This window comes from Homo sapiens, chromosome 22 (assembly GCF_000001405.40).
Source record: "Homo sapiens chromosome 22, GRCh38.p14 Primary Assembly".
NCBI lineage: Eukaryota > Metazoa > Chordata > Mammalia > Primates > Hominidae > Homo > Homo sapiens.
Window position 1 is genome coordinate 20299626 of NC_000022.11, and position 20468 is coordinate 20320093.

At 58.3% G+C, this 20468-nt stretch overlaps 1 protein-coding gene and 1 pseudogene across 1 annotated transcript, besides 5 other annotated features; one reads left to right on the forward strand and one right to left on the reverse strand.

The window, feature by feature from the left end:
* Positions 57–366: a silencer, noted in NCBI's record as "silent region_13492". NCBI's record gives its function as "represses an Ori minimal core promoter by ATAC-STARR-seq in GM12878 lymphoblastoid cells {active_cell/tissue: GM12878}" and the evidence as "EXISTENCE:reporter gene assay evidence [ECO:0000049][PMID:35858748]".
* Positions 129–13958, forward strand: PRODHLP (proline dehydrogenase like, pseudogene; annotated as a pseudogene).
* Positions 13793–14348: an enhancer, noted in NCBI's record as "H3K4me1 hESC enhancer chr22:20300941-20301496 (GRCh37/hg19 assembly coordinates)". NCBI's record gives its function as "activates a minimal SCP1, AML or CMV promoter by ChIP-STARR-seq in naive H9 embryonic stem cells {active_cell/tissue: H9 hESC(naive)}" and the evidence as "EXISTENCE:reporter gene assay evidence [ECO:0000049][PMID:30033119]".
* Positions 14349–14902: an enhancer, noted in NCBI's record as "H3K4me1 hESC enhancer chr22:20301497-20302050 (GRCh37/hg19 assembly coordinates)". NCBI's record gives its function as "activates a minimal SCP1, AML or CMV promoter by ChIP-STARR-seq in naive H9 embryonic stem cells {active_cell/tissue: H9 hESC(naive)}" and the evidence as "EXISTENCE:reporter gene assay evidence [ECO:0000049][PMID:30033119]".
* Positions 14613–20435, reverse strand: DGCR6L (DiGeorge syndrome critical region gene 6 like). Its single transcript, NM_033257.4, has 5 exons — positions 20254–20435; positions 20014–20174; positions 16494–16594; positions 15711–15851; positions 14613–15199 (listed from the first exon to the last, which is right to left on the reverse strand). The coding sequence occupies exons 1-5, from the start codon at positions 20361–20363 to the stop codon at positions 15050–15052; spliced, it is 663 nt and encodes a 220-aa protein (NP_150282.2). The 5' UTR covers positions 20364–20435; the 3' UTR covers positions 14613–15049.
* Positions 19781–20075: a silencer, noted in NCBI's record as "tiled region #9836; HepG2 Repressive DNase matched - State 1:Tss". NCBI's record gives its function as "represses a minimal TATA promoter and a strong SV40 promoter by Sharpr-MPRA in HepG2 cells {active_cell/tissue: HepG2}" and the evidence as "EXISTENCE:reporter gene assay evidence [ECO:0000049][PMID:27701403]".
* Positions 20112–20341: a silencer, noted in NCBI's record as "silent region_13493". NCBI's record gives its function as "represses an Ori minimal core promoter by ATAC-STARR-seq in GM12878 lymphoblastoid cells {active_cell/tissue: GM12878}" and the evidence as "EXISTENCE:reporter gene assay evidence [ECO:0000049][PMID:35858748]".

The following is a 20468-nucleotide window of genomic DNA, read 5'->3' on the forward strand; positions in this document are numbered from 1 at the left end:
CGAGGAGTGGGCGCGGCTCGGAGCGTGGGACTTCTAAGGAGAGAGCGCGGCTAGGGGGCATGCGGGGCGGGGAGGGGCGGGGCGGGACCAATAGCGCATACTTAAGCGGCCCGGGCGGGTACCGGCGTCCCGCCATGGCTCTGCGGCGCGTCTTGCCCGCGCTGCGCCCCTACATTCCCCGCTTCGCGCCGCTGTCCACGGCGCCGGCCGCCAGCGAGCAGCCCGCCGCGGGCCCAGGGGCCGTGCCAGGACGTGGGTCGGCCAGGGCAGTGCGGCCGCTGGTGCCCGCCGTGGACTTCGGCAACGCGTAGGAGGCGTACTGCAGCTGGCGAACCTGGGAGCTGGCGCGCAGCCTGCTGGTGCTGCGCTTCTGCGCCTGGCCCGCGCTGCTGGCGCGCCACGAGCAGGTGCGCGGGGTGCAGCCGGGGCGCGGGGCTTCTGCCCGTCCCGGGAGCCTTTACGGAGTTTCCTGGCGTGAAACGGGTGCCTCCCAAGCATCTCCTGGAGCAAGGGAAGCCAGGAAGGGAGGCGTTTCCTGCAGTCCCTTTCTGATATCGCGAATTTTCCTACTTCTCGATGTCTACCAACTAAAAACAATGGTCGTTTTAATATTTACGATATATACCACTTGTGGGAATACAGAGTTATCACTTGGAATTTAAAATGGAGTATTCTTCATGTTGACACAAGAGAAGCCTGGTGTAGGGCTCATAGCCTGGAACCCCAGAGTTCAATCCCCGGGACCCAGCCGCTTCCCAGACACGGCCACTCTGAGAACACTGTTGGGGAAAAATGGGAAGCCCCTCAAACGCCCAGCTTTGAACTCACCCATGGTAACTTTAAAAAGTGTCAGGGCTTTTGGTGGCGGTGGTGGGGGGCAACAAGCAGAACACTGTTTTAGCCGCATCAGCCTAGGGGTACTAGAGATGACGGTTATCTCCAGGTGACCCTGGGAAGAGTTTGCAAGGTTCCGCTTTTTGGCGCCAGGGTATCTGGTGGTGTTGATTTCTCAGGTGAGACTGTACAGAGGTCGGGGGCTGCACCCCTGGCCTCAACAGGAGGCGGGGGAAGGCGGGGGACGGTGTGAGATGAGAAGCACCGAGCCACACTTGAGCTTAGGTGAGGCCTCGGCGGGTGCGAGGTGAGGGCAGGGATCCACGAACTCAGAGTCAGATGCTGTTGGCCCGAATCCCATGGGGAGCGCCAAGGTCAGCCTAGGACCCGTGGTGGCGGGAGTGCGGAGGATGGTGGAGGAAGAAGGAGCTGAACTGGACAGATGGAGGGCTCTGGGAGGGCACTGCTGTGCTTGTGCACACAAGGATGTCTTAAGGTCAAGTTTTGGCCATAGAGAGCCCCGGCCAAGGAGACAGGAGGGCGAGAAGGGACATCCCAGGTAGAGGAACTGGCAAGGTGAGGGACGGCGATGTGGAGGCTTTGGGGAGTGCCCACATCTAAGGGGCATCCCAAAAGAGGAGCCAGTGCTGGTGGTGCTGCAATAGGAGGAGGAGGCAGCAGGGCAGGAATGCCAGGGGAGGGAGTGGCCAGCCACAGGGCAAGGACGGGCATTCTAGGTGGCAGCTGAGTGGGACAGAGACTAGCCATGCAGAAGCCATGCCCACCTTGTGGCCAGGATGTAGTGGGGGCTAGGAAGGCACCAGGTCAGGTTTCTTTTTTCTTTTTTTTCTTTTTCTTTTCTTTTCTTTTCCTTCCTTCCTTTTCTTTTCTTTTTTTTTTTTTTTATGGAATTCGCTCTGTCACCAGGCTGGAGTGCAGTGGCGCGATCTCTGCTCACTGTGACCTCCACCTCCCTGGTTCAAGCGATTCACCTGCCTCAGTCTCCCGAGTGGCTGGGATTACAGGCACGCGCCACCACACCCAGCTAATTTTTGTATTTTCAGTAGAGACAGGGTTTCATCATGTTGGCCAGGATGGTCTCAATCTCCTGACCTCATGATCTGCTCACCTTGGCCTCCCAAAGTGCTGGGATTACAGGCATGAGCCACTGTGCCCAGGGAGCTGGTGCCGCATCTTCTGCCTGGGAATCCCTTCCTGACACAGCCTCTGGGGGCCAGAGATGGGGGGAGCAGGGCTCCAGGGGTAGAGAAGCCAGAGGTCACTAAGGCCCAGTGTCCTTCCGTGTTAGAAACACCCGACCCTGCACAGCCCCATGCTGGCCCCAGCAGCCCTCCGTCAGGGGCAGCGGGTCCCAGGCCTGTTTATGTTTTTGTTTGTTTGTTTCAAATGAGACTGGGTCTTGCTCTGTTGCCCATGCTGGAGTGCAGTGGTGTGATCATAGCTCACTGCAGCCTAGACCTCCTGAGCTCAAGCCATCCTCCCACCTCAGCCACTTGAGTAGCTGGGTCTACAGGTGCATGCCGCCACACATGGCCAAGTTTTTTTTTTTTTAATTTTTGTAAAGAGGAGGTCTCACAGTTGGGCGTGGTGGCTCATGCCTGTAATTCCAGCACTTTGGGAGGTGAGGCTGGTGGATTGTCTGAACTCAGGAGTTCAAGACCAGCCCGGGCAACAGGGTGAAATCCTGTCTCTAATAAAATACAAAACATTAGCCAGGCATGGCGGCAGGTGCCTGTAATCCCAGCCACTCGGGAGGCTGAGACAGAATTGCTTGAACCCGGGAGGCAGAGGTTGCAGTGAGCCGAGATCACTCCACTGCACTCCAGCCTGGGTGACAGAGTGAGACTCCGTCTCAAAAAAAAAAAAAAAAAAGAAAAAAGATGAGGTGTCACTATGTTACCCTGGTTGGCCTGGAACTCCTGGGCTCAAGTGATCCCCCCACCTTGGCCTCCCAAAGTGCTGGAATTACAGGCGCACACTACCACACCCAGCTAATTTTCATATTTTTTGTAGAGATGGTATTTCACCATGTTGCCCAGGCTGGTATCAAACTCGTGGCCTCAAGTGAACCTTCCACTTTGGCCTCCCAAAGTGCTGGGATGACAGGGCATACCACTGCATCTGGCCCTTCTGAGCAGTGCTTGGAAGCCACCTCCTGACGGGGGCTGGGGGTCAGAGTGGCCAGCTGAATGCTGGGCCATCAGGGTGAGGGGCGTTTTCTCCTCATCCATTGCCTGTTCTCCTGGGGCAGATGTAAGGGGAAGGCCCTGCACTGGGGTGGTGTTAAACAAGATGAGATGGTAAGATCTGCTTTCACTTTAAAGGAACATTTCTGGTTGTTGCTTGGAAAGAAGTGTCAGGGGCAAGAATGCTGCAGGAGGGCTGGCCTGGAGGGCAGGGTGGGACTGCAGGCTGGCTGCACGGGGGCAGGAGCCTGCGCTTGCGTCAGAGGTTCCTGAGAGACTTGGGCTCTGGGGCAGAGGCCTGAGCAAGGGGGCCTCGCTGGGGTGTCTCTGTCTTAGCCACACTCGGTGTTTCTGGGTCCTGTGACCCATGTGTGAGCAGCCTGTGGTGCTGGTGGCACAGGGGAGGAAACCGAGGCAGGGAGCCTGTGGGGGCTGCTCGGCAGGGGACAGGCAGCTCCTGTGCCCACTGCTGTCCCACACCTGCATGGAAACACAAACCCCACCACGGAGCCCCCTCTCATCTCTACAGGGCCTCCAGAGCGCCATGTGCAAGAACTTCATGGGCGGGGTGGGGTGGGGTCAGGAGCCTGCTGTGGGCTGGCCAGGCATGAACACCAAGCTGGAGGTGGCGGTGCTGCAGGTGGGGCAGCCTTCCCCTTCCCCACTCCTGTGGCTTGTGAGGGGGTGGGCACCGTGGGGGCGCACAGGGGGCATGGTGGGCAGTGGTCGGAGGTGGTTTTGGGAACTCACCCAGGGCACGTGGCTCACTCTGCAGCTGCTGGGGTTGGCCTGGTGGGGAGGAGGAGGTCGGAGGGACTCTGAACAGAGAGGGGAGATGCTGGCAGGAGGGCTGGAGACCCAGCCCTGCAGGGCGTGGGCGTGCATCAGCAGCGGGGTGGGAATAGACCTGTCTATGCAGTAGAAACAAACCAGACATGGATCCTGTTCTTACTAACGATGTAATAAAGCCAGAAACAGCACCAGAGGCCAATGGGTGGGGGGAAGAATAAAATGTGAGCGAATGGGGCTGATCCAGGCCTTCTCACTTCTCAAGGAAAGTGTCGCAAAGATGGGCATCGCATCCAGGGCTGAGATTGAGGACTGGTTCACGGCAGAGACCCTGGGAGTGTCTGGGTGAGAGCAGCCCCCAGGCTGAGAGGACACGAGCATCAGCCATGGTTCCAGCCAAGCCCCAGTGACGTCTCCCAGTCCTGGCTGCCCTGCCTGAGAGGGTGGGCCTTGGGATGACAGTGCTGAAGGAACTGCTTTTCACACAGCAGGACTTGATGGCCTCAGGAGTCCCTGAGGCTGGGGCTGGGCTGGGCAGGGGAGACACAGGGCCAGCACAGACCCCATAGAGGGCTCTTTATAGAATTATCTGGGTCCAGAGCAAAGGTGGCACTCTCAGCCCTCCCTGGAGTCCACGCCGGCAGGTGAAGGATCAGAGCCCCATGCCCCATCCTTGGGGCCAGGGGCTGGGACCCAGGTCACCAGGAGCCTCCAGTTGAAGTGGGGAGGTGACTGGGGTGGTGCAGTAGTGAGCCATCCCCTCACACACTGCCAGCCTTGCCCACTGTGTCCTCCCTGGCCGCCCGGAGCTGTGTCCGCCTCCTGCCTGGCTGCCTGTGCTCGGCCCCTCCACAAGCCCAAAACAGCCCTAGGGTACTCAGTGTTTTCAGAGCCGCCTAGATGCAGGACTGTTTGTGTTTTGGTTTTAAATTTTTTTAATTAATTTATTTTTTATAGAGACCAGGTCTCACCATGTTGCCCAGGCTGGTTTCAAACCCCTGGGCTCAAGTGACCTGCCCGCCGCAGCCTCCCAAAGTGCTGGGATTACAGGTTTGAGCTACTGCACGCCACTGGTTTTAAATTTTTAAACAGAAAACAATATTTACATTTCCTCTGTCTTTTTTTTTTTTTTTTTTTTTGAGACGGAGTCTCGCTCTGTCACCCAGGCTGGAGTACAGTGGCGCGATCTCTGCTCACTGCAAGCTCCGCCTCCTGGGTTCATGCCATTCTCCTGCCTCAGCCTTCTCGTCTTTTAAAACTGAACACTGAGGTGGGTTTTGTGGTGGTTGGTGAACGGACAGGTTTGGGCCTGGATCCCCCACCCGACCCTAGCACCCACAGGTGGGGTCGCCAACTCTGCTGATGTGCCTCCTCCCTCAGCACTGTGGACCTGCTGGACTGGAGCAGCCTCATCGACAGCAGGACCAAGCTGTCCAAGCACCTGGTAGTCCCCAATGGACAGGTAACACCTCCGCTCCTCAGTGAGGCCCAGCTCAGCAGGGCGCTGCGCTAAGAAGGGAATTCAGCCTGCCACATGTTTCTCTTGTTGCCTACCCTGGGAACTTAACATGACCAAGATCACTGCACACTATGGCCCCACAGACCCCCTATGGTCCAGGGGGAAAAGAAGACAAACCCACTAGTGTCCACAGAGTGCTTGGTGGGACAGAGACCCACGCGGAGCCTTAAAACACCACAAGGAGAGGGGGTCTGGGGGCCTTCCCCAAGTCATCTGTCTTGTGCATCAGGTCACCCCAAACTTCAGAGGCCTAAAACGGCAGCAGCCACTCTGCTTCTGCCTCATGGTTCTGGGGTTGACAGGGCTCAGCTGGGCAGTCCTCGCTTGGGGTCTCCTGGGTAGCTGTACTCACAGAGTGGTGGCGCTGGGACCTGGGGGAGGCGCCCACTCACATGTCTGGGAGTTGGTGCTGGCTGTGGCTTGGGCTTTTTCCCAACATGGCAGCTGGGCTCTAAGGGCCAGTGTCCCCTGAGACGTGAGAGCCAGGCAGAAGCTGGGTGACCTTTTCCTGCCTCACCTCAGAAGTCACACGGTGTCTTTTCTGGCAAGTTCTGTTTGTTAGAAGCATGTCACCAGGCCAGCCTGTATACTGCGGGGAGAGGAATGAGACTCATCTGCCTGTGGGAGGGGGGCCCAGGACCTGGCTGACTGCTTGAAACCACAACCTAAACTGGAATTCGAAGAAAGAACAGAAGCACCTTCAGAAAACATCCTGCAGAGGCAGCTTTCCATGACACATCTAGCCCCAGTCCACTAAGGGCCCAGCCTCAAACTCAGAGCCCCCGACCCAGAGCCTCGGGGCGCAGTGCGTACAGTGTGGCTGTGCACCAAGGCCACCAGCTGTTGGAGACTTTAGCATGGTGTAGCAAGGGATAGAGTGGTACTGCTTGTGCCCAGTGAGGCAAGGCTGCTGGGGCCAGCAAAGGGGTGAGCGGGAGGCCCTGCGGGATGGGTCCCCACGGCCTCTGAGCACCAGCTCCTTGAAGGCCTCATCCTGGCGGTTGCCCTGGTCCCTGGCTACGTGTCAGCACGTGCTGCACAACTGCCCTGTCTGCCTGTAGCCAGGGGTCTTCCTCCTGGGCCCTCTTCCTGCTCTGGGTGGAGCCCTTCTGTTTGACGATTGGGTGGTCAGTGTTCACTTCCTCAGTGTCACATGGGAGCTGCAGGGGGCCCTCCCACAATGGTGGGGCCTCTGTGAGAACTGGGGAGGCTGTTAGAGTACACACTTCGGAGTGCAGGCCTGGACTGAGCCTGGGGCCCACTGACATGGGCACTGAGCTCCCTCCTGGTACCCCCAGGGCCCGCGTAGGGCAGTGCACTGGCTGCGTTGGAGGTTCCGGGGCTCTGTGCTGCTTGTCCAGGTGGCCCTCCCTCCCGGCCCTGCATGAGAGGGTTCCCGTGGGCTGGGAACACTAAGAGAGGTTTAGCCTGGGCCTCAGGGTGGCACTTCCTGGCCCTTGCTGTGGCCTGACCATGTGCTGTACCCCCAGACAGGACAGCTGGAGCCCCTGCTGTCCCGGTTTGCTGAGGAGGAGGAGCTACAGATGACGAGGATGCTACAGCGGATGGATGTCCTGCCCAAGGCGAGCTGTCCCGCTCGGGCAGAGGGCTGGGGCCTTGGGGACCCGGGACTCATGCAGAAGAGGGCACCTGCCTCACTTGAGCAATAGTTGCTCCCACTCTCCCACCCCCTGCGCCTCTCAGAAAGCCACAGAGATGGGCGTGCGGCTGATGGTGGATGCCGAGCAGACCTACTTCCAGCCGGCCATCAGTCGCCTGACGCTGGAGATGCAGCGGAAGTTCAATGTGGAGAAGCTGCTCATCTTCAACACATACCAGTGCTACCTCAAGGCAAGCCCCCGCTCAGCCCCTCCCTGCCTGCCTTGGGGCTTGGAGACCCCACAGGAGGGGCTCCTCTCATCTGAGCTCCCTGGCATTTGCCTGGTTTTATACTCAGCACCCACCAGGGAGCTCACGGGATGGAGGAGGGAGTGGGCCGTGCCCCCAAGGGGTTGTTGGGGTCTTCTGCAGCACAGCTCACCCAGCGGGCCCCAGGGTCCAGGAAAGAGCCCCTTAGGTGGTGGCCACAGCCAGGCCTGCAGAGGAGGCCGAGGCCAGGGTGACTGCCTCAGAGTAGCAAGAAAGGCCCGCTGCCCGCAGCCTCTCCCCTGGTTCTCAGAACCAGCCAAGAGTGTCTAAGGAGCAAGAGGAAGACAACGATCTTTATGAGGGTCCACTAGATGTACCCGACACCCCAAACTTGGAAGGTGTCACATGACCATTTCCTCCAGCGTGTTTTCAGTTCAGCGCCCCTAAGAACCTCATGAAAGCTTTGGGCCCTCCCCGGAAAGACTCACCCAGGATGTCACATGTATTCAGGGAGCCCATCCTAGCCTGTGGGCCCCAAACTGCTCAGGGATGTTAGCAGGTCCAGAGCTCTCAGGGGTGAGCCGGGTGCCCAGAGGACACAGGGTGGCATGGGGAGGGGGTCCAGGCAGGAGCATGCAGTATGCACCCCTCCTGGTCGGCCTGGGAGTCTGGAGCACATGATGGCTGCTGGCGCCTGGGCTGCCCCCATAGGGCTGTCCACAGGCCACAGAGGAAGCTGCAGATGTCCCCACTGCCATTGCTCCCTGGAGACAGAGGTTGGAGAACCATCCTCACCCACACCTGGTCCAGGTGCCTTGAGCTGCACCTCCCCAGGCAGCTGCTGCCCAGCCCTGGTGACTGCACCTGGGCCCAGGAAGGCCCCATCCTGCTGTCACTTGGGCTTGCCCAGGCTCCCTGTGACTTTTGGCCCTGGCCCCACAGGATGCCTATGACAATGTGACCCTGGACATGGAGCTGGCTCACCGTGAGGGCTGGTGTTTTGGGGCCAAGCCGGTGCGGGGCGCATACCTGGCCCAGGAGCGAGCCTGTGCAGCAGAGATCGGATATGAGGACCCCATCAACCCCATGTACGAGGCCACCAACACCATGTACCACAGGTGCGCAGCTCTCCCACCCCTCTGTCTTCTCAGGGCAGGGCGCCAAGAAACCAGGCCTGAGGGAGAGGCTTGGAGACTGAACTTGTCAGCCACATGTGTCCCCAGGTCAGAACTGGTATTTCCTCAGCTTTTATGTCATGTGTTACTTTTTCAAAAGCATTAAGGTTATTCTTTTATAAATATAGAAAAGCCTATTGAACAAAGTAAAATTGGCCACAGTTCCCTGAGCCTGCTCCTGCAGACACTTAGATCCAGAGATGTGCATGAACACTCGGTCCTCCCCACCCTGCAGGCTCAGCCTGTTTGCTTTTCAGTTCACACAGTGGGATCGCCCATCAGCTGTTCTGCACCTGCTTTTACTGCTCTAGTTTCTTGGTGATCTTTTCATGTAGCACAGGCTGGCCAACCATGGGCTTTTCCTCTTAGAGGCGTGTGTGCATGCTGCAAATTCAGAGAGACCCCAAGTGCCTCCTGGTTGGCTCCAGCTCCCCTCCTGCAGCCGCTGTGCATGTCGTGCCACAGCGCACACATCTCCGCCATTGTTGTTTGCGCTGTAGCGTGTCCTCTGCCCGATGTGTTTTTCATTTCGCGTTCCATCTGGGTCCTCTTGTGTGGGCTTGCAGAGTGGTGCTGTCAACAGCCAGCATGGAGTGCCCGGGGCTATGTGTCCAGCATCTTTGATCTTACTGGTTTTCAGTCTGGTTATTGTAACAGGGACTCGCTGGACATACCGTCACCCTCTGTGGTACACACGGGCCGTCAGGGGTTTTGTGTCTGAGGATGCAGCTGTCCTAGGTTGCTGGAAATGGAATTGCTGGGTCAGAGAGAACGTGCGCGTGGTCAAGCCTGCTGAGTGTCCTCGCTGCAGGAGGGCCGTACTGCTCGGGCTTCCTGGTGCACCGGGATGCCCACCCCCACTGTGCCCTACAGGGACCTGCTTCCCTTTTATTTCCTTTCAGGGCCAGGGGTGCACTGTACGATCCCTCCCCAGACGCAAAGCTGTGTCTGTCATGAGGCTTATGGGCATGTTTGGGCTGGTCCCCAGAGTCACGGCATGTTTGATGCAGGGACGCTGTGCCCCAGCTGGTTCTGTGTGAATTGTCTGGTCCCAGACATCGCTTTTGCTTGGTTGCTGGTCTTTCTTTTTCATGAGGTGCTGGGAGGGGCAGATGCTGCTCCTGTTCCTCCTGATCCTGTGGATACCCTTGGAAAGAGCCAGCTCACTGGATGGATCTGGGTCTGCCTTCGGCCTCCTCTCTGTGCAGCTGGTAATGAGAGGTGCAGGCGACCACAGGCCTGGAACTGGGCTCACATGGCACTCTTCACAGGTGCCTGGACTACGTGCTGGAGGAGCTGAAGCACAACGCCAAGGCCAAGGTGATGGTGGCCTCCCACAATGAGGACACAGTGCGCTTCGCACTGCGCAGGTAGGTGTGCCCCACCCTGCACCGAAACCCCAACCTGAGCCGTTGTCTCCTCCAGCTGGGGAGAGGTGGCAGCAGTGCAGAGCTCAGGGTGGGCAGAGTGACCTGCTGGGTGGTCGGGCATTTGTGGGGAAAGGCTGGTGAAATGAGCTGGAGGGTGGCTTCAGTGGGCAGGCCCAGGCCCGCTGGCATTCTGGACATCGGACTGTGAGAGCACAATGGCTCTTTGCAGTTACGTTGGTTTTTAAAATTAACTTTTTTTTTTAGATAGAATCTCGCTGTCACCTATGCTGGAGTGCAGTGGCGTGGTCTCAGCTCACTGCAACCTCCGCTTCCCAAGTTCAAGCAATTCTTCATGCCTCAGCCTCCCAAGTAGCTGGGATTACAGGCATGTGCCACCACGCCTGGCTAATGTTTTGTATTTTTAGCAGAGACAGGGTTTCACCATGTTGGCCAGGCTGGTCTCAAACTCCTGGCCTCAAGTGATCCTCCCTTCTTGGCCTCCCAAAGTGCTGGGATTACAAGCATCAGCCACTGTACCCAGCCTTTTAAAAATTAACATTTGACTTATTAAACTTCACAATTAAAAAACTAAATTTCATCAGGGTATTCGGATGGCTCCTGAAAGGTACAAATGTAGTGTTGGAGCCCAGTCCCTCAGGAGGCCTCCACAGCGCTGCCTCATTTATAAGCAGTTCCCTTAACATTTTAACTACATCTGGAATGTAACGGTTTGTTTTCTCTTTAAACATTTGTCCCATGGAGCACAACTTCGGTAGAATTCTAACAAGTCAAATGCAGAAGTTAGGTGAAGTCAGTTCTTGGATACTCCTGTACTGTCACCCTGGTCTTATCTCATGCCTTAGCCCAAGCTATGCACACAATGGGGTCCTAGGTCCCCCTCCCCTCCCAGATTCCGCCTTCCCAGGGATGGGACCCCCTAGAACCCTCGGAGGCCTGGGCAGTGGCCTCGCTGGCTCTCGCCTTCCTAGGAGCTGAGCAGGAGCTCCACTCTCAGCAGGGCAGGGTGCCCCAGATCCATGACTTGTGGCACGAAGGGGCTCCCCAAGAAGCTGTGAAGCCACAGGGCCAGGCTTGGGGCCAGGGCTGCAGCCAACAGGACACATCCTGGTGCTGCTCGGGAGCTGACTCACGGCTCTGAAATCATTCAGTGATGTCCACATTCAGCCTTTGTTTACGATGCTGCTACTTTTTCATGGCCTGAAATTGCAGCACACCCATTTTTGTGCCCTGATCCTCTGCTAATTGTCATAGATGTGTCGGTGATGGGACAGACTCACTTTCTCCACACGCACAGGCCTGGTGGCCAGCACTGCCCAGCACTCGGGAGCTGGTGGGGGTTCCTCTCAGCTTGTAATCAGGACTCCCAGCCTCTGGGTGGACTCTCAATGCTGGTGGACTCACAGCCTGACTAGACACATCACCATCCAACTCCGAAAGGACAGCCCGCCCTCAGCAGGGCTTCCTCTCTCCAGCTTAGCCCCGGCACCTGTCTGTCCCTACTATCTTGCTGTGGCAGTGGCTTCCCCAGTGGACACAGCTTCCCCCTCCCGAGTGGCAGCCGGGCTCTCTCCTCTTGGCCCCAAGGGCCCTGTGCCGGGCTCCCCCAGTACCATGCTCACATCCCTGCCTGAGAGGCTGGACCCCTGCAGGCTTCAGCTCTGCCCCTGCTGTGGGTGGCTGGGGAGCTCTGGGGAGCTGGGGTCCCCTCCCATGGGTAAGTGGTTCTAGACTATGGCAGCTGCTCTGTCCTGTGCTGGGCCCAGACTGCCACACCACCCACCCTCAAACAACCCGAGTTGGCTTTGGCCAAGGAACAAACCAGCCCCAAACTTAGAGGCTGGAACAGTGGCATGTTCTGTAGGCCAGGGGTGGGCTGGCTCAGCTGATGCTTCTGCTGCTGGCTGTGCCTGTGTCCCTCCTGCGTCTGTGATCTGGGGCCGGTGGGGCCTAATGAGCTCATTCATGGCTGGTGTAGTAAAGGAGACTACATCCTGGGTCCAGCGTCCCACAGGCCAGCCCAGGCTTGGGCACGTGGTGGGCTCAGGCTTCCAGAAGGCCTGGAGAGGGCAAGCCTCTGCTTGTGTCACCTTTGGTACCTCCCTGTTGGCCAAAGTGCCTCACGAGGCCAAGCCCAGATGCCAGGTGGAGTGAGCCACTGTCCTGTGCTGGGAGGAGCCGCAGTCACATGGCAGAGGCTGTGCACACCAGCAGGGGAGGGGGCAGCCAGCAGTGGCACCCGGCTCTCGGGTTCATGTCCTGGGGTTGAGGAAGACACAAGATGGAAGCCAGGGCGATGTGGCAGAGATGGGTGCCTGCTTTAGACTGGGTGGTCCCGACACTGGAGCCCAGCCCAGGGATGGAGGGAAAGGGCCTCTGGCCGATGGGTACTCTGGGAGCCAGGGCTGGGGCAGATGGAGAACAGGGGAGGTGAGGCCCTCGGGGAGGGAGTGGGAAGCACAGCACAGGCACTGCCAGTCACCCGGGTGATGCGTGAGCAGCAGGCGGAACTCGCCCCAGGCTGGGGGACCCAGTGCTGTGCAGACCAGCGAAGTCGGGATACCTGGATATAGTAAGCTGGAGATGAAACTTGAGAACTGTCACTGCGTGGATATTTCAAACCCTGAGAATCTTTGTAAGACCCTATACGGGGTGGTGTGAAGACAGGACAGAGTGGAGGCCCCACCCCAGTATCTGAGCAGTGCTAATAGATGTATAATGCAAGCCACATCTGTAATTTAAAGTTTTTTGGTAGCTACGTTAAAAGATAAAATGAATTTCAAGAATACATTTTAATTAACCCAAAATATACAAAATATTACTTCAAATTGTATTCAAGTTGATTTTAGAAAAGCAATGCGGCATCGTGCATTTTTCTAGAAAGTCTCCTAAATCCCGTGTGTATTTGACATTTGCAACACATCTCGATTCAGAGCAGCCGCCTTCCGAGGACTCGGGGGCTGGTGGCAGCTGTGTGGGACACAGCAGCTGTGGGGATGGGGCAGAGCAGCAGCCCACAGAGGGCGAGGGCAGGGGCCGGAGACCAGTCATACCACAGAACCCTGGAGGGGCTTGAGGAAGGGATGGCAGGAGAGCTGAGGAGCTTCTCTGCCCTGTGGGGCAGGCTGCTGGGTGGGTCAAAGCCCCAGAAGGGCTGCACCTCCAAGAAGGGAGGTAGAGGAGAGGTGGGAGAGAGGAGGGTAGGGAAGGCAGGAGGGGGGCCTTGTTGGCTAAGGGCTGAGGCCTCCCCAGGGAGAAGAGTAGGGCAGCCCAGCAGAGTCCTGCTGGGAAGAGGCCTCACTGGGAGAGGGCCGGACAGAGCCTATATCCCAACCCCACTTCAAAGGGGATAAAGTCTGGAGAGTGTAGATGGGGGACCTGGGGTGGCAGGACAGGGTCAGAGCTGGGACAGGGGCCCTGTACCCCTGCACCGGGGACAGTGTCCTGGAATTAGCCCTCAGCTCCTGGCTTTACCTGCACAGGATGGAGGAGCTGCGCTTGCATCCTACTGTACTTTGGACAGCTGCTAGGCATGTGTGACCAGATCAGCTTCCCGCTGGGTGAATGGGGCCCTCCCTGGTGCGATGGAGTGTGGTGCTGGGCCTGGGCCTCATGGCATTATCTGCCCCCATGCAGGCCAGGCTGGCTACCCTGTGTACAAGTATAGGGCTGTAGGTGCTGTCATACGTGTCCTGCCACGCCCTGGAGAACAGCAGCCTCGTGAAGGGTGCCCGTCGGGAGCGGCAGCTGCTGTGGCTGGAGCTCTTGAGGTGGCTCCGAACTGGCAACCTCTTCCATTGCCCCACCTAGCACCCCCCCGCCCCCGCCCAGGCCATCACCACAGCTGCAGCCAACCCCATCCTCACACAGATTCACCTTTTTTCACCCCACACTTGCAGAGCTGCTGGAGGTGGAGTCAGGTGCCTCCCAGCCCTGCCAATGGTGGGGGCACTCAGGTGTGGGCTGACCCTGATACCTGCCTGGGATAGCCGCTGGTAACTGTTAGGAACTTTCCTCGGATGTGTGGGCCCAAGGCCCCCACCTCTGTGACCCCCATGTCCTTGGACCTAGAGGATTGTCCACCTTCTCCCAAGGCCAGCCCACATAGCCCGAGCCCCTCGGGGAGCAGTGGCCGGGCTGGGGAGGCCTGCCTGGTCAATAAACCACTGTTCCTGCAGCTGAGAGCCCTTTGCCCTCACACAGGGTCAGCTCTGGGCAACAAAGAGGGAGTGGCTCAGACAGGGTCAGAGAAGTCTCATCCCAAACTCTGGCTTCCAGCATCATCTGTTCCTGGAGGCCAGGCCCTGCGCAGACCTGGCCACCCAGGGTGCTGGACACCCCCAACCCTGACTCCACAAGGACCCAGCAGGGCCCATGGGCCCAGGCCAGCACGGAGGGGACTCATGCAGATGCAGAAGCCAAGCTCCCCAGGTGGCCCTGGCATGCCTCCCCGCAGGGCTCCTCCTCAGGCCATTCCTGCCACCCTGAGTCCTCTATCCCAGTGACCTGCATCAGGCTCCTCCTAGTGGTTCCCACAGGACACTGACCAGGCTGCGGCAGGCGCATACTTGCACTCCGGGCCTTCTCCCATGCTCTCCAGCCCCCAGCCCCACAAAGCAGGCTGGATGTGGTCCTCATGCCCTGGGGCTTGGATGGGGGCCCCTGTACAGATGGCAGTGACAGCATCCTGGGACCAGGGCTGGGGCAGGAAAGGCTGGAGGGTCCCAGTCTCCAGGCAGGGGGAGGGGTGGTGGGCTGGGCACACAGCCCAGGAAGGGGCCCCCAGGTAGAGGCCTCTGCTGCAACAGAGGTGGGGGCCCTACCAGGGCCCCGGTTATGGCAGAACCTGCAGCTATCACACAAGCCACATTTGGGCCACACTGAGGCATCTTTATTTCTCTGGGTCACACAGAGCTTGGGCCTGGGAGCCTCTTCTGCATGGGGGCTGCAGCTGCCAAGGGAGCGGCTGAGACCAGAACAAGCGCTCGGGTGGGCCCCAGTGCAGGTTGGGATGTGCCCGGTGGAGTAAGGTGTGAGAACCCCCAGCCTCACTCTCTGCCTGGTCCTGAAGCAGACAGCAGCAGGCTGGCCCAGCCTCCCCTTTATGAGACTATCCTAGGGTTTGACAGCAAGTCCCAGATGAAGGGTGACAGGCAGCTGGGGTCCACCTGGTCTCTCCTCAGCAGGGGGAACCCCCTGCGGGCAGCTGGGAAGGCAGTGGCCAAAGGTCAAGAAGATGAACTCTGCCCAGACTTCTGCTGCCTGTGGCTATGGTGGGACAGGGCTGCCTTTCTGGTCACACTGGGCAGCAGGCGACTGCCAGGGACCTCCCAGTCCCAGGGCTGCATTCCCTGCCCGGCAGCCCCTCTGCTGCAGCTTTCGGATGAGTTCCAGCAGGTTCATCTGCAGCATCAGCTCCTGGGATACAGAGGGGCCCCATGAAGGCCAGAGTGACCCCCAGGCCCCTTTCATCCCGGCCCAAGGGTGCCAGGCAGTGAGCCCACGGGGGCGACCATCCTGTGAAGCCTGGTCATGGCCTGCCAGGACAGGGTGGAATCTGAGCTTCTGCCCCCAACAGGGCCACTCGGAATCTGAGCCTCTGCCCCCAGCAGGGCCACTCGGAATCTGAGCCTCTGCCCCCAGCAGGGCCACTCGGAATGGCATGCGGGAGGGGAGCAGAAGAGGGCCCTGTGTGGCACAGCAGGCCTGGAGAGGGTGGGCAGTGCCCATGGCTGGCTGGCTCACCCTCCTGTAGGGAATGGGCCTGGCCTCCGTGCTGGGAATGGCACAGAAATCCTTTCCAGAGCCTCAATCCTTCCACTTCACCCCCATACCCTGAGCCTGGCTCCCCAGGGACCAGCAGTAAAACCCCAGATGGAATGGGGCCCCGGGGCACTCGGGCTAGGGCAGAGCAGGCCCAGGCACTGACCTGTGGGTTGGTGGTCACGTAGAAGCCAGCCACCCCCGCCTTCTCCAGTGTGCTCTGCTGGTCAGCCACCTTCCGGTCCAGCTCCAGGATGATCTTCTGGTCCATCGCCCGCTGCTCCTCACGGATCCGGTGTTCCACGGCCTGCCATGGGGCCAGGGCGCGGAGGGGGAGAGGTGAGGGCAGCTCTGCCATCAGGGGGCGGGGAGGTGAGGGCAGCTCAAACACATGCTCCTGCTGCCGTCCCCAGTGGCAGCAGCTCTGACACCACCGGTGCATCCTCACCACACCCAGGCCTCTCCTCGGCCATGTGAACCCCTGAAGGGGGCCCCAAGGGGCTTCCACGAATGCCCTGGCTTGGGACTGCCTTAGGACCACACACACATCTCCACAGGCACACCCTGCCCCACGGCTTGTTGGTTACATGCCAGTCTCTGGTTGTCCCTGTGCTCCCTGGGAGAAGGATGGGCCCCTTCCTGGCCCCAACACCCTACCATTGCCTTTGTACCCCCCTGAGGCCACCTGCTCTGTGGAGGCCCAAACCCACGAGGAGCTGCTATCCAGGGGAGCACTGGTGGGTTCTCAACCTCCACCCAGCCCCAGCACACTTGGTATCCGCAAAGAGGAGCCACCTGGTGGGACTCACTAGGCCTCCAGTGTCCCACTCAGGCCCAGGACAGCCACCCATGCCTGAGCCCCCACACCCCTTCAGCTCAGCCCAGTCAGCAGAGCCAGGTGGTGCCCACAGGAGAGCTGGGCCGGCCACCCTGCCTGCGCCCCCAGTACCTCTAGTTCTCGCTGCTGAGCCGCCTGAACCACAGGCAGGTTGTGGGGCCGGCAGGCCTGCTGGGCTTCCTGGTGCTTCTGCCGCAGCGCCTGCCTGAGCACTGGGAGGGATGAGAGCCCGTCAGCAGGCGGTGGGACTCGGCAGCAGCCCTCACCCATGGGCACCTGCCTTGCCAGCCCAGCAGAGCAGCCAGGCCAAAGGGGTGTCTGCAGTGGGGAGGATGCCAGCCTCCTCCATCCTCCCACCCCACTGTCACCCAGGGCCGGGCCCTTATCTGGTGGCAAGTCTCCAGGGGACTCCAGAAGGTGCGGGGCACTGAAAGAGTGGGGTGGGGAAGACTGGCCAGGTGGGGCCAAAGCTGCAGCCCCAGACCCAGGGCAGCTGGAGGAGGCAGGCGGGAGGGAGGCTGCAGTCTGAGGGCTTCAGGGCCCCCATGGCCACAGGCCATGAGACATCTACTCAAGTGTCAGAGACCACCTCAGGCAAAGGCATGGGAAAGGAGCAGGAGGAGCGGGGTCGCTGACCCTGAGCGTGGGGCCTCTGCCTACCAGGGGTGTGGTCGGGCCCTCCACCCTCAGTGCTGCCCTTCAGGGTAGACAGCCCCTCCCTCATTTGCAGCTCCCAGCCCCCGCACAGCGCCAGAGGGAGAAGGGTGGGCAGACCTGGGAGGCCCAAGTTTGGGATGAGCTTGGGGTGCCATAAGCCTGTGTGGCTCTGAGGGGCTCACCCTCAGCCATCAAGTAAAGCTCCACGGTCCTTGCTAAACTGTGCACAAACACAGATGTGTGCAAACTGTCTGGTCTGAAGGGAATGTACAGAGGAAGCGATCATGGGACATAAACCACCATGAAACAGAACATGCAGCACCCCACAGCTGGCGCCAGTGACCAGTAAGTGCCAAATGGCTACAGCTCCCCAGGAGGGAGGGGTCCCTGGCCAAAAGAAAAGGTGAAACCCAACACTCTGTTCCTGGGAAGAGCCCTGATGTTGCAGCTCTTCTCTGGTGGCCAGTCCCCAGGGAACTCCAGGGCCCCTGAGGCTCCCCTGCAGGTAGCCTGGCTCCCGCTGTGCCTACAGCCTTCCCCGATCTCCTGTCTCTTCACATTCTGTACACACCTCGACGATGGTATTTACCAAAAGCCCCCCTCAAGACAGCTCCATAACACAGGGAAGCAGGGAAATGTCATCTCCTTCACTCTACTGATCAAACATTGCTACAAGTGCCAGGTCCACTACCAGATTCCACTAGATAGACAACCAAAAGGCAAGAAGAGAGCCACGCTGGCTGCCTGGGCAGAAGGGGCCTGGCCTTAGACATGACCAGGGAACACAAAGGAGGCAGGAGCAGCCAGTCGCCCCTGCCAAATCAGCAGGAGAAGCAGAAAGTCAATGCAGGCATGCCTGCTGCTGGTGGAACCAGGGCCTGGCCCAAACCTTCTGAAGCACAAACAGCATTGGGCCCAGGCAGTTACTAAAACTCCCCATCCTGCTATAAGGAACTATAGCTCTGTGGAAAAATGGCCGATTCCAGGACTGAGACACGGAGAAAACAAGAAAAGATGAGCCTGAACACATACCTGAACCAGAAAGCAAGAAAGTGCTCACAGAATGATGGGGCGGCATCTAAAGGTGCCTGGAGCGCCCCCAACTGGCCACACATGGCACAGTCTGGGCATTAAGGAATAATGAGCCATGCGCTTGGGATTAGTAAACTACATACATCTTACAGCTCAATAAAAAATTTTAAAAAGACAATCGCCCAGACATTTAGGGGAAGAAGTAATGCCAATTCTACACAAACTCTTCTGGAAAACTGAAGAGGAGAGAACACTTCGAAACTCATCCTATAAGGCTGGCAAAAACCCTGATACCCAAACCAGATATTACATGAAAACTATAGACCACAGTTTATCATGAACATAGACCAAAAAATTCTTAAGATTTTAGCAAATCAAATCCAGCATACATAAAAAGGATACTACAGCACGACCCAGTAGGATGGAATTCAAGTGACTGTAATTCACTGTAGTAATAGAAAATGATTCACCACGTGATCATCTCAAGAGCTGCCGAAAAGGGAACTGCCAAAATCCAACATCCATTCTTGATAAAAACACACCAATCCTGGAGCAGATGGACACTGCCTGCCTTCTGGGGAAGGGGGCCTTGCACTGCTAGGAGAAATTTTTGCCACATTAAACCTGCTTCTAATCAGGCTTCTACCAGCAGTCCAGTGTACAGGAAACCCAGAGAGTGGAGAAGCAGGTTAAATGCAAGAGGAAGCATTTCGTCTGATAGATCAAGAGCAGGGCATTCTATAAAATTAGAATGCCCTGGACTCTACAAAAAAGTCAATGCCACAATAAATGTTGGGGACTGTTTCAGAAGCAAAGAGACCAAAGTAACCAATTGTAGTACATGAACTTGGACTGGATCCTTACTTATAAAGCAACAATTTGCCACAAGTTAGGTACCATGATGTGGCCGTGCACTGAAAGTCAGGAGACACCCGGAACAGTTAATTTCTCAGGGGGCTACCTTCTGCAGCTGTGTAGGAGACCAGTTTTGTTCTAGAGCACTTGCTCCCAATCCAAGGCCAAGGTTGACCCCACCACCCAGGTTGTCTGGAGGCATTCTTGGTTTTCAGGACTAGGGAGGGTACCCCTGCCATCCTGCAATGCGCAAGACAGCATCTCACCAAAAAGACTTACCCAGCCACAAATGTCAGCATGGCTGGGTTGAAAATCCTGGTCTCCAGGAATGCTGAAGACTCTTGGTGAATGCTATGCTGTCACATGTATATATTTTGGGATGTCAAGAACTAGAGCAAAACGTTAACTATTGAACTTTAGTGAAGAGCACAAGCGTATGCACTATACTATCTTTTCAGCTTTTCTAAATGTTTTAACTTCTAAAATAAGAAGTTTGGGAAAAATAACAAAGGTGGAAACTGATGGTGCAGGGGGACCTGCCCTATATAATTTGCAGGAAAGGGCTCCCAAGCCCACCAAGCAGGCCTGGCTCAAGTGGGAAGCTCTTCGGGTTTGGGAGGGCGCCACAGGAGACAGTGCTTAGGAATTTGATGTGCAACTGGAATGAGGCCCTGCGAGGCCTGAGAGGGAACTGACCCTGAAAGACGCTTGCTGCACAACTGTCAACAGACTTCCAACTACTGAGGGGCAATGCTGCTGCAGTCAGCGCCACCACCAGAGTCTGCCTGCAGGCCAATCAGGCACCGAGGCCTAGGGCCATCCTGTCTGGAAGCGCGTGGGGCACAGGGAAGCCCGAACAGGGAGTTTCTGCTAAGAAGGTGGGTGCTGCGCAACTGAAAACAAAACTGGTTGGACCCACTGATCACCAAAAAGGCGCTGTCTCAGTCTCTGCGCCCGTTGATTTTGTCAATCTTAGAGACCTCTTCCGAACACTTCCAAGGAAGGAGCTGATCTGCACAGATACCAAGAGCTGCCCGGAGGCGCCGACCCGGAGGAGGCGGCACCTCATCCCGCTGCCCCCGCGCACCTCGGTGCTCGTTCTGTAGGCGCAGGCGCTGGTTGTACAGGCTCTTTTCGGTGAGGTGCTGGATCTCCAGTAGCCCCTGCACGATTTCGAACACGGTGCCGTCGAGAAGCGCCAGGGCCAGGTCGCTGAGCGTGGTGTAGGACAGGCGCTGCTGGAAAGAGCTGCGGGTAGGGGGGCGCGGTGAGCCCCGGCGGGAAACGAAGCCGCCTCCGCAGGCCTCCGCCCGCCCCGCCTGCGTACCTGGGCAACTCCTTCACCAGGCTCTGTAGCGCCGACAGCAACTGGTAGTGTCGCTCCTGCTGCCGGGCACCGTCCGCCACCTCCTCCAAGGCGGCCGCGTAGCGCTCCATGGCGCGGACGCCCGCTAGCCGCCGGCGGCGGCGACGAGCTCCCCCAGCTTCACGACATCCCGAGCGCGGCGCGTCCCGCCCCTTTTACGATTGTCCCACGCGCGG

Excerpts from the sequence above, each read along its gene's own strand:
- DGCR6L (NM_033257.4), bottom strand. The coding sequence starts at position 20,363 with ATGGAGCGCTACGCGGCCGCCTTGGAGGAGGTGGCGGACGGTGCCCGG. Across the intron at positions 20,175-20,253 it reads CTGGTGAAGGAGTTGCCCAG|CTCTTTCCAGCAGCGCCTGT; the intron begins GTACGCAGGCGG and ends CCCTACCCGCAG. Across the intron at positions 15,200-15,710 it reads ACGTGACCACCAACCCACAG|GAGCTGATGCTGCAGATGAA; the intron begins GTCAGTGCCTGG and ends TCTGTATCCCAG.